The 12285-nt window shown below is 36.8% G+C and overlaps 1 protein-coding gene across 18 annotated transcripts in view, besides 2 other annotated features; it reads right to left on the reverse strand.

The window, feature by feature from the left end:
* Nucleotides 1-11628, reverse strand: part of ETV1 (ETS variant transcription factor 1) — a 100197-nt gene extending 88569 nt beyond the window's left edge. For 3 of the 18 annotated variants that reach the window (NM_001163151.2, NM_001163152.2, NM_001163150.2), the window contains exon 1: nt 6319-6615. In NM_001163151.2, coding sequence (NP_001156623.1) covers nt 6319-6379 — 61 coding nt within the window. In that variant the 5' untranslated portion in view covers nt 6380-6615. Of the gene's footprint in view, nt 1-6318; nt 6616-6840; nt 6889-8288; nt 8377-8882; nt 9087-9210; nt 9343-9470; nt 9668-9765; nt 10080-10755; nt 10910-11324; nt 11453-11530 lie in introns of those variants that run through there. The other 15 variants (NM_001163148.2, XM_047419985.1, XM_047419987.1 and 12 more) reach the window with 12 other exon arrangements.
* Nucleotides 5249-6043: an enhancer, noted in NCBI's record as "OCT4-NANOG hESC enhancer chr7:14024671-14025465 (GRCh37/hg19 assembly coordinates)". NCBI's record gives its function as "activates a minimal SCP1, AML or CMV promoter by ChIP-STARR-seq in naive H9 embryonic stem cells {active_cell/tissue: H9 hESC(naive)}" and the evidence as "EXISTENCE:reporter gene assay evidence [ECO:0000049][PMID:30033119]".
* Nucleotides 11389-11890: an enhancer, noted in NCBI's record as "NANOG-H3K27ac hESC enhancer chr7:14030811-14031312 (GRCh37/hg19 assembly coordinates)". NCBI's record gives its function as "activates a minimal SCP1, AML or CMV promoter by ChIP-STARR-seq in primed H9 embryonic stem cells {active_cell/tissue: H9 hESC(primed)}" and the evidence as "EXISTENCE:reporter gene assay evidence [ECO:0000049][PMID:30033119]".

Here is a 12285-nt window from a genome sequence, read left to right on the forward strand (position 1 = left end):
TAACTGAATATGATGGTATGAATGTTCTAAAGGTCTTTTGTTTGTTTTTGTAGCATCGTAAGCAGATTTGCAACTTCCTAATATATGTCACTGCAAGAGCAGCACAGACTCACTGATGGGTGTGTGATGTGTGCTGGAATATGTGTGAGGAAAAAAGGGCCAAATTTTAGGAGTAGAATAATCTAGAAGTTATACCTCGCAAATATACAGAAAATAGCTGCACGATAACAATCTGTAAAGAGTAAGAATAAGAATTCCTATTTCTGTTCTAACTCCTTAACATACTGAATAAATACTTCACACTTATTCCTGAACATATTACAGAATTTTAACAAAAAACATATGACTCACATTTTCACAGAAGCTAATCTTAAGAAACTGAATAGACCAAACGAAGCAGCATGCTACTTAAATAGACAAAGGCTTAAGTATACCTCTAATTTCAAGTTAGAGTAAACGGAAAGCAGTTAACTAAAAACACAAGTTGGATCTAGGCAAGGAAAATATGACAAAGTATTGCCACACTTGTATCATACATTTCCTTTTTTCTTCAATTCAGGGGAATACTGTGAAGGAGCAAACTGCAGCTGCCTGAAAACTTGCAGCAAGCCATACCAACTCCAAAGTTGAAAATTAACAATAGAGGTCAGCCTAAAAAAGCAATGTTTTTTCCACTACTATCTATTATAAACTGTGCTGGATATAATCACCTTTGGGGAATGAAAATGTTTCCCCACACTATGTAATTAAAGACGAAGGGGAAGAGGAGGAAAGGAGAAGGGGAGAAAGTATATACCAAAAGACCAATAAAATGCTTTCAAGGAGATTAAGCATGTGGATTTTATTGGTAATAGCTGGAGCGGCTCTATCAGTTCATTGCACGTTAATAGACCAGTTGCCATCAAGTCTCAGGATGTCGGCTTTAAAAGGGCAGTATCTGCACTCTCAGCTATTTGTTTTACCTAGATTATTATCCAAAGTTGTTTTACTGTTTTCTGTCTTTTTGCTACGTATCAATGCATATTATCAGAAAGAAATTCATAAAAATATTAATCATGACCTATATGTCACAAACTCACCAATTCTCCTTTTTAATTTTAATACTTTTCTTAACTAATATTGCCTTAGAGATGGGTAATTTTAAATATAGCTTGCCTTTATGTTATGCTTATTTTTAACTTTCAAATGAAATAATAATCATTACTTAAGAAAAAGTAAGCGATGAAAAAGTTTCCAAGGTTGGCTGCAGGGAAGCGAAAACCCTCCTATTCTTACAAACTATGTGCCTGTTGGGTTTTTTTTTAAAGCTAAGGAAAAAGTGGAAGAATTACAAATAAAACAAACGTCAAGTATAAAAGGGGTTAATATTTAATTAAAACCAGTTCTATCCACTGTAACAATGACCTGGAGCCAAACAAGGCGGAAGATGTATGAGTCATTCTTTCTGCCCGTGAATGAGACAGCTGATCTCCTCAGCAATTCCTCAAGACAAGCAGGCAGAACTGGAGTTCTGCCTCCATTCACAAAAACACAGTCCAGCATATGAGCCATGTGGCCCAACCACAATCTTTTCATGTCACACCCTTCCAGGGAGCTAAAGCAAGTAAACTTGGACTTGCAATATAAACACACCAATTTTATTGCTCTGTCTCAGAGCTCAGATCCATTAAAGGAACACATTTAAATAAATGACGTTTACAAAGTTACATACATACATACATACATACATACATACATATATATATATACACACACACAAATACATACATGCATCCTGCTTTACAGAGTAACTTGTTACAGAAACTTGCATGTATAAAACTAAGGAAGAAAAAAGGAAAAGACAGAAAGATGCAAAGAAGGTTTCAAGAAAGGGAAAAGAAAAACCATTACGGAAATGCCTTATTTTTCTTTTCTATTATCCAACTATTTTTATCATAAGAATACTGTAGATTGTTTGCTGAACTTTGTAGCATTTCTCTTTGAATCAAAGAGTTAGAAACAAATTTCTCATGAGAAATTTAAATTTTATTTCAAATAAGAAGTAAAAAAAGAAAAATCCACCTTCCTACAGTGGTATGCTGTTTAATCCTAAATTGAAGCTACAGGCCATGGAACAAAATAATCATGAGTCCACTAAGCTTGGTTTTATACCACATCCACTTTTAACATTAAAATGATTGTACAAATGTAAAAGCATTAATTATGCAGAAGTATAAACATATTTAAACATACAAAAAGGAGGCAACTTTCCAATGACAAAACACCTTTAATACTTGATCAAGGCATTATTTCCATATTTCTATATTCTTACTGTAACAGTAAAGTTTTAGTCGTTGTGTCAAATCAGCTTCAATTCCTAACTAAAACTGACCTGCAGTAACTTGAAAACTTAAGGGAAGCTCAGAGCCAACTAGCCGTTGTTTCTAGCCAAATATTTTCTCTAATGCTACAGAGGTCTGACTCTATTATTATTTTTTATTATAACATTATACACAAATCAAAGGGAATAAAGTTATACTACAAAATGTAACAAACTGCACATTTCCTATAACTGAAATAGAAAAGCTTAGCAATATTTTATTTATTAGGATCCTCTGGAAAAACTACACTATACTACACCAAATCCTATTTTTCTATTTTTAAAAAAAATTTCTATTTTGTAAATAAAACATGGATGAAAAAACATTTATGCAATTCCAATGAATGTTTAGAAATAAAATATACTTTATCTGCTGTCTTTAAGTCAAACTCAAATGGGAAGTCTTTCTCTCATATTTTAGATTATTTTCTAGCACATCAAAAAGAGGGGTGATAGCCCATCCTCTCCCCGCCCACACACACATGAAATTATTGTTGTTCAATTATAAGAGATTATATGGAGTTCTGTAATTCAATGCTTAATTCTAAATTCATGTTTTATGTAAACCACATAAAATAATGTCGTTTTTAAAGCCTTTAATCCTTATTGCACCAAGTGGGGGAAAATAATTCATGAGCACATAACCAATTTTATGTTCCATTAAAAAAAAGTAGGATTTCTGAAAAATAAAAATGAGTGTATTATGACTACTGTATATTGTGGATGACATTACACATAGTAAGTAACAATAGCACATATTACTTATGATTTTGAATATAAATTTACCATCAGCCATTAAAGCGAATTGAGGGGAAAGTAATGACATCTCTGCTTTTAAGTTGACCTGACTGTTGTTTGAAGGTCACATAAAACCAAAAGGAAAAAACCCTTATTCGTATGATGTAATAAGCTTTGCTGTAGAAAGGTTGTTCTTGCAGATAAAACTCCTACTCGAAGTGTGGAGGCAGCACTAAACTTGACTCAATACAAAACCACTGGAAAACATTTTACCCTGAAGACAGAGAATATTGTTGATGAAAGTGAACCTGAAAGAACATCTAGACCGGAAACAAAATAACAGTCAAGAGAGCAGCTACACATTTACATCAGATATATACTGAAAATTATTATTTCCCTTTAAGTTGTGTTAGTAGGTGAGCTTTAAGAAGCAAATTTGGAAGAATACAATCCTGTCTTAATTTTTTACATCTTTCTATTTTTGTTCTGGATACACAAGAGGTTCCATTTTAACTATGACTTTCAGGTTGTTAAGAATAAGACATCACCATGATGTTGATAGAATTGATATTTAAACTCATTATTTCATGGGATCAAATAATTGCAATTGCCTTTCTGTCAGTAGCAGTCTAATTTAAAAGACAAAGAATCAATAAAGAATTGCACATAGTAAAATTATAACATAAAGTGACTATGGCAACATTTTAAAATTGGCATATTCCCTGACTTTTTTTTTTTTTAACTACTGTGGTTACTGAAAACATTAACTTTGCAGTTTTCTTCAGAATAAGATAATTGTTTTAAACTGTGTTTAGATGTTAAAAAAAAAACCTTTAAATTGCAGTGTTATTTCTTGGGAAATGATATTAATGTAAAGTTATATTCTCCACCAACATATTTAAATCTCTGTATGGGAATTAACTTTCTTGGTAGAATGCAAGTATATTTTTACAGAGGACTTTACTGAACTGAAAATACTGGTCCCATCCCAACCCTCAAACAGTCCTGCCTTATCTATTCCAACTTCCCCTTAGAAATAAAAGAAATTTTATAATCCATAATAATTACCCATGACTAATCCATATGTTGCATTTGGGGTAAAATTTATGAATAGTCTTACAGAAAAAAAAAAACTAAACATGCTAAGATATCATTTCACAAATATTTGAGGACTTTTATAATTTTTCAAAAACACAATTATCATATGACATATGACAACTAACTTGACTCTTATGTCTAATAAGGTTTTTAGACCTGTTTAACTTCCCAGTGGAATTCTAACTCATGCGAGAAACTTGATTAACTGCCAATGATCTTTTTTAAAAGGGTCAAGATGTCTTAAAATTCCATGGTCACTTTCTTGGCTATGGAGCATTATGAAAAGAAATATGTAAACGGTTCATGGTCTGCCAATTTGGCAATGTTTTAATTTCTGGATGTCCAGAAAGACATAAATGGACACATCTCACTACAAATAAACTAGGGTAATTTGGGGATCTCTTCTTAGCTAATACCGTTCAAGAGGTGGGATAAGTCAAGTTAAAATATCAGTGCAAAATAATATATTTAATTTCTCAAAACAAAAAAAAAGTGGAGTCTAGAAACAAGAAGTTAAAAAGATCTCTTTTCTCACTATTAGGTTTTAAACATCACGTTAACAACTTTTTACTTACATCGTGATTAGATAAATTAACGTAAACTGTTTTGAAAACGCTTAAATTATTCTAAAATGAAATCTTATCCATAGTTTGTAAATAGTAGTCCACCTGGGAATTCATATAAAACACTCATGATTAATTCCTGAACTTAATTGAAATTATAATTCTTTTCTAAGTAAAGGTCCATGTTCTTCCAAATACACTGATCATTTTCTAGGATTATTTTTTGTAGTGCTAAATCTTCAGGTTTGATTTACAGGTATGTTAATAATCCCGGAGAAAGACTATTCTCTGCAGAGTTTTAAAAGATAAATTTGGATAAATTATTGCAATCACTTATCTGAGCTACAAGACACAAAACAAGTAAGTCAAAAGTTAAAAAAAAAGTACTGAAACTGATTATAAAATGGTAAGAGTCTGTCACAGATTCCACATTTTAAAATTCCAGGAACAGAGTTGCTATGCACATTCAAAATCTGCCAGCAAGTGCACTGACTTGGAATCAATGAGATTTAAACATCTAAGAACCAACAAACCTTCCAGAACAATTAAAATAGATATTTTAAGTTATTTTGGAGAAGCAAATAAATTCTCTCATAAAGGTAATGTTCTCACAACCTTTGACTTTGCAAAACTAATAGGCATAAGTTAATACAAGAATCTCCATGCAAATTTTCCTTGAAAAACTTGTATCTGAATATGACTTATGTTGCAATAAAAAGTAATGTATTGCAGTAAGTTTCATTTACACAGACTAGCAAAATGATCCTTAAATATAGCCAAAACTTTCAGTAAGTCTTACCTTCATTAACATATAAATACAATCATCCTTTCAAAGGACTATTAGGAAAGCTATTTAACTTTAAAGATTGATAAAGATTGAAAAAGCTCTTTGGAGAACTAGACTATCAGCAAAACAAAGAAACTTATTTTACATGCTAACAGCAACTTGATCAACTGCATTCAAGACCACCGATAAAACACGTCAGTCTGCCTCAAAGTAGCTACAGTAACACCTGGGTTCCATTTAAAGAGACCCACTCTCTCCTTTTTAACCATCTTAAAATCTGTTCCAAAATTTGCATGTTTCCCATATAATGTGAACACACAAATAATACTGTTATACACTCAATGCTTAAATATCTATAATTTTTCTCTTTGTATTTCCCACAAACCACACCATAAAATTAATGTTTCACATTTGTATGCCAAATCCAAAAGAAAAATTTCAAATTATGAATGCCAACAGAAGTCCCTCAACATTAGGCATTTTTGAAGTTGTATAAAGCTTTATGAAGCAATCTCATTTTCCTATAAAGTTGCATACGATAAAAGATATAACAGATTGCACCACAAAATTTTAACAAAAAATAATTCAAAATGAAAGTAATGCCTTTAAATGTATCCTTGCTCTATTAAATAAATCCTAATAAAACTGACAAAATAGCAAAGGTCAATTTCAGCAAACATAACATGAATAGTAACACATGGAAAACATTTTTAAAATCCTCATATCTCCCATTTATTTTAAACCCATAGATTTCCTAAGCATTAGATACACACCTAACGTTCTGTGTTGTGAACAAGGTGGAAAGAAGACACTTGCACTTAAATCTTGAAGCATCCCGTCCTGATGAACCCAGAGAAACTAATTTCTGCCATCAGAAAAGTCCTCCACCAGAACACCAAATAATGATATGCGCTGCTCTAAAGGAAACAGCAAGCCAGCCGGGTTCTGGCTCTAGGAGGTCTCTGGAGGTACAATAATATAAACCTGATCAATTGCAATTAAAATCTGAACAGAGGCTTAGAACTTGAAGTCTTGGTGCATTAGTTCTTGCCAAAAGCAGATGTGATTGTGAGCTGGAAGCAATTTCTCCTGGTAATTTGTGATGACACTGGGTAGTACAGCCCCAGAGTCCCCAAAGACAAACTCATCAGAGGCTCTAATGTATGCATGACACATGAGGTGGCTCTTTTAGAGCTCAATTAATTGGGCTGAATATTAAGACAGCAAGTTCAGGACTTCTTTTCTTTCTCCTTCTAGAGTTGCTTTCCCCCCTTTTAAAGCAAATTTTGCCTTACCTTCTGCAAGCCATGTTTCCTGTAATTGACTTAGATCTTGAAAGAGTTCTAAAAAACAAGTCAAAGACATAAACATAAGATTTGCAAATCTTTAATCTTCATTAAATGGAAATATTTGTCATGAAATTGGTATTAAATATAAATTTAATTTCAAGAGACGCAGTCAACATAAAAATAAAAAAAAGAGGCATAACTTAAATATCTCAATAATACTGCCTACTTTTCATGCCTATTAAGCAACTCTTTAAGAAATTATTTTAGTCAACTAAAGAATAAAGTCAATCATCTTTTCTTCTTTTTAACAAACAGCTTAATAAATAAGCTCAGGGATACCAGAATTCACAAAAAGGCTGAGGTGAATATGTGTCTGTTCACTGAAATCTTCCTTAAATATATTTAACTCTTGCTAAAATAGTAGTAGGGGGAAGATTAGAAAGACTGAAAAGCATTTTATTTATATCTTCTGAATCTTACATAAAATATATAATGGTACATGGTACAACTGTCAAAGTATTATGTTTTCAACTTCAATACCTCGAAACTAAAAGAAACCACTTCAAATACAAGTTTTTAGAGGAAAATTTCTACATTAATAGGTTTATAAAAGTCAGAAAGATAATTCTTTGGCACCAGGTTCTCATCAAGTTCTAAACTATATGGTCATGTTAGGGAGGGAGAGAGGGAGGTATTTAAATGGTATGAAGATTTGAGGAAGTTTCAGAATTCAGTATATCTAATTAAAATTGCCAACTAAACTTTGATAATTAAATCTAAGTATATTAAGTTTATTATGAATGTCCTCATATGGCTAAAATAATTTGTAACATACTGACATCCTAGCAACAGTTCATAAAAAGAATCTGCAAACTAATTTCCCAAATAGTATTATAATTATTAAGGAGGCCTTAAGTATGATTCAGTGAACACATTATGGTCGATAAACAAGGTATTATGACCTCACAATTTAGTCATCAAAATCACCCTTGAAAATTCTGTTAATAGTAGATGGTTTTAGTGTAAAGGAGGTGGGAAACCAAACAATCACTAATACTGTTTAACTTGTAATAAAGGAGAAAGAAAAAAGTAAGCAGTGTACATAGCTGCTGAATTTGTCCCACTGTATTGGATATTTTTAAATTGTTATCTTAGTGAATGGGGTGAGTTATATGCCCCATGGACAAAGGTATTTAAACACAAAACAATGATTAAAAGAAGGTTGTCATTGAGAAGTTTTTATTTCCTTCTTTCATTACTTTGTGATAGGACCATAAAATAGTCTCCCATGCAAACTGCCGCATTATGTAAATCGTTCCAAGTTAAAGTCTTAGTTAGATTCAGTAATTTCAAAGTTTATTATTTTTAAGATAAGACTGAAGTGCTCCTTTTCTTTTAGCAGGGTGGAGAGTGTAGGTAAAAAAATGGGGATTCAGCCCAAAATCAAACCTCACCTTCTGAATCATGAGCCAGATCTCTGTTAATGAATTTTCTTTTCCTGACATTTGTTGGTTTCTCGTTACAATTTCTCCCACGCTGACTCTACAAAGGGAAAGATAAAATCCTTTAAAAGAATGTAAACCTCAGATCACACACACGCACACGCGCGCGCACACACACACACACAGACATGCATACATAAGTCTAATGGATCTTCTCTGAATAGAAAAATAGAAGTCCATAGTATCAACTCTAATATTCATTTTCTCACTTATTTGACAGTGAAAGCTTATGTTAAGCAGGCAGGGAGAGTTGCTTCCCAGTGCCGATCTTAGCACATTACTATTTATCAATCATATATTCATGGTATCTCAGCATCAAAACAACCTGAAGCATTTACACTTAAAGTTGTTTTTAGGCTGGTTCAATGCTAGATTAAAACAGTGGGTTTTATTCTCTCTTGGACAGCCCCTCCTCCCCACCCCACCCCCACAAAAAAAAAAAGCAAAAAGAGTAGAGAAATGAAAAAAAAAAAAAAGAGAAAATGAGAAAAAAAAAAGAAACAAAAACACCCCATATAAACAAAAAGTGTCAGCATTTGTCTCAACTTCATTCTTTTCAATGTGGCAGACAAACCCAGCCAAAAACTTTGAGTGCAGCAGCTGCTGCTGCCCTCCATCTCCTCTTCCACTCATGTTGGGCACTTTAATCAGAAAAAGGGGTCTTAAAAACAAAACTATGCCTTATCCAAATCACTGAAAGGTAAGCTCATTTTGAAGACTGGGCTTCTAGAAGCAGAGTCGCCCTACAGTGGCAACAAAGCAGATAAGTATCTGCAATCCCAACCCCCGTGCCCCCTCCCTTCTCATTTTCTCCCTCTCCCCACCCCCGACGGAGTCAAGTTTATAAACAGCAACTTTCAAACTGATCACTCACATTGGTGACCATGTAAGGCACTTGCTGGTCATAAAATCCATCCATGCTGCTGCTCTTCGCAAATCTCAGCTCAGTATTTTATATTTTGAGCATTTAGCTGGAGATTTCCTCAGGATCTGGACTTCTATCAACCTAGAGGGGAACAAGATGGCTTTTAGGCTTAAAAAAAAATCATGAATGAAGCTCTTGAATTTGCATAGCTAATTACCCTCCGACAGTCCCATTCACAAAAATAACCCTCCCTACACCGCCTCCTTCACCTGGATCCAAAGAGAGCCAACAGAGTTCACAATTTACATATTTTCGGTAGTAGCAAAAATCCGAACAAGAGGCGATGTATTTATTTACACTCTCGATGTTTCCCTGCGCGGTCGGTGTACCCCGGGCAGCTCTGATTCGCAAACGTGTGCAAAACTAGCAATGGCGATCAACGAGACTTGCTTTGCACCTAACGGGACTAAAGAGACGGAGACACCTCTTTCATCAGGATAGTTTTTGCGACCCACAACCATGCAATTATCTGGAGAGACATAAAAAGTTGTTGGAAAGACCCACCTGAAGGCCACGCTAGGCGAAAGGCTGCAAAAACTTCCCTCCAAATTTAATAAAAACATTAATTATAGCCCAGCACTTCCCCCTTGGAAGCCGAAAGCGCCTCTGACAGAGCTCAATTCGGTGGTTTTTCCTCTACTTCTCCTCCAGGGGCCTCCAATCCAAACTGATGGATCGCTGCCTCCCATTGGCTCCGCGTCTCTTTCACAAGATCAGATTTCGGGCTGTCAATCAGGCGGCTTGCTGCCCCTTCCCGCGGGTCTCCCTCGCCCCTCTGCCCTAGGGGGTGCTCGGCCGGTAGGCGCTGGGTCCTCAGCCTGGAAGCGCCACGGAGAGACTCGATTTCCTCTGTAACCCGCTGCTTATTGTTAAGGCGCCTGGGGATACTGAAACCGTGTGTTTCGAGTCGCCAGTTCCCATTATTGGGGTGTTAGGTCCACTATTGGGCTGGTTTCCTTAAAGTACTGTTGTGCGGTTCTGGTATACCCTTAGAGCCGCGATCCACAAAGCCCGTACCGCCTTATTCAGCTGCCCTCCCCTCAGGATCTCCAACCTCTCTACTCTTGCCCTGACTAGGAGCTCACCTCGCTCTCTATCCTCATTCCCACTCAGCTTTTGGCCCAATTTATTTTCCCGTTTTTCAAAACCCACCATCACCATTATGGTTTATCGAAACATTTTTTAAACAGTCATCCTCAACTAAAATTAGATCCTATCGTTCGTGGGACAGAAACATAAAGAATCTATAAGGAAGGCACCTAGGAGATGCAGAATTGCTGATTAGCAGAGGTTGTGATGGGAGGACAACAGAGCAAGCTAGGTGAAAAAGTATAAGTCAAAATGGTCCCTACGTGTGCACTGGGAAAAGGTACTTCCAGTCCACTGTGGCTGTGGGGAGGAGGAGGGAGTGCTTGGGGTTGCTCGTATATCCTAGAACCCGCACGTTTCCTGAGCTTTTGTTATGTATACACGGAGGCGGAGGGTGTCACTTACTGTACTTGACGCTTTCACTTCCTCTCCAGCTTTTAAACAGCCAGAGCCCAGGGTTGGGGGCGAGCGGTGAGATGGCTCGGGTTTCAAGGACAATAACTAGGACGTTAAGCAGTGAGGGCTGCATCTCTGAAGCCACTTGCCCTGATCCTCCTATGGGACTCAGAACAGTAAAGCGTCACTTTAAGGAGCCAGTGTCCAACAGCGGACGGGAGGCCGCGGGGATAGGACCAGGGACTCAATGCTGTTGAAATTCATTTGTGACCAGAACTAGTGACCAAAAGACGTTTCCGGCAGCTGTTCCGCCCGTTAGGAAACGTGCTGCAGTTCTCAATTTCTATTTGAAAGTTTCCTTCCTTAAATAGAACGTTATGGAGACACATTAAAATGGAGTGTAAGAGCGCACAGCACTCAACCCCGGACCTGGGCAGGAGAAAGATCTACTTAAAAAAGAAGCAAACAAACAAACAATCAACACTTATTACTGGGAAAACAACCAATAACTATGGACAGCAAAGACAGACCCCGCGCATTCCCGGAAACTACTAAATCGGAGTTCACAACGCGCGCACCTATAAGCATTTTGAGCGGGAACTGCATTTTAACCCCGGCCAAGGAGAGATTCCAGGAAGCGCCTGGGCCCCGAGGCTGAACAGTGAAGCTCATGGGTACTATCTGAGGGTGCAACCAAGCAGGGGGTCAATAACAAGGGTCCTCCACCACCCTGCACTCCTGGAATAACCCAGCGCCTGTAATCTGAGCAACAGTTTCCAAAGACCTTCTCTGCAGCCCGAGCCTGACGGGTATCCAGGGTAACCGCGAGGGGGCGGAGCTTCGGGTTAGGTCCCGGCGAGGTTCTTCCCGCAGCCAATAACGAGCCGTAAATCCCCAGCCCATTGTTGTTTATTGCTGACCCCTCAGCGCTCCGCTAGGAGATTGGCCGCTTTAGGGAAGGGGGCGGAGTCCCGCCCGCCCCAACAGCCACCTTTCGTCTCCATTCACAAAATTCCGGCCCTTCTTGGTCACGTGGTTGGGGGCGTGGAGGGGTAGAGGAAATGACACAACAAAGGCCCAAGTATCCCAAACCACAAAACTTTTTTCAGCTCGCTGCCTCCTCTTTGTCCTGTCCCTGAAACAGATACTAGATGAGGAAAAAGAGGTTGGGGTCTGGGAGTAATAACAAGAGAGAAAAAAATTAAGACCGAAATTAAAGGAAGGCTCACGTGGGGATAATTCCGGCGTGCACTGCTTAGACAGCTTTTGCACTAGAGGAAAGAAAGAATTGAGAGTGGGGAGAAAGTCTTAAGGACTGGGAACTTTTGCTTGCTGCTTCAAGTCATTGCTTTTAAAGGTGCAAACTGTTCGACTGTAGATGGATTTCAGTTTTTTCACTTAACATTCTGTAATTTTCATTTCTACCTTTTTTTGTATCCCACAGTGTCTTGTTAGTTTTTTAAAGCTTTTATGTATTATTAGTATTATATATTTTTAGGAATATTGATGGTTTTCGCTGGCTGATAGCTTTAGTTTCCA

The sequence above is a fragment of the Homo sapiens genome, chromosome 7 (assembly GCF_000001405.40).
Source record: "Homo sapiens chromosome 7, GRCh38.p14 Primary Assembly".
Taxonomy (NCBI): Eukaryota; Metazoa; Chordata; class Mammalia; order Primates; family Hominidae; genus Homo; species Homo sapiens.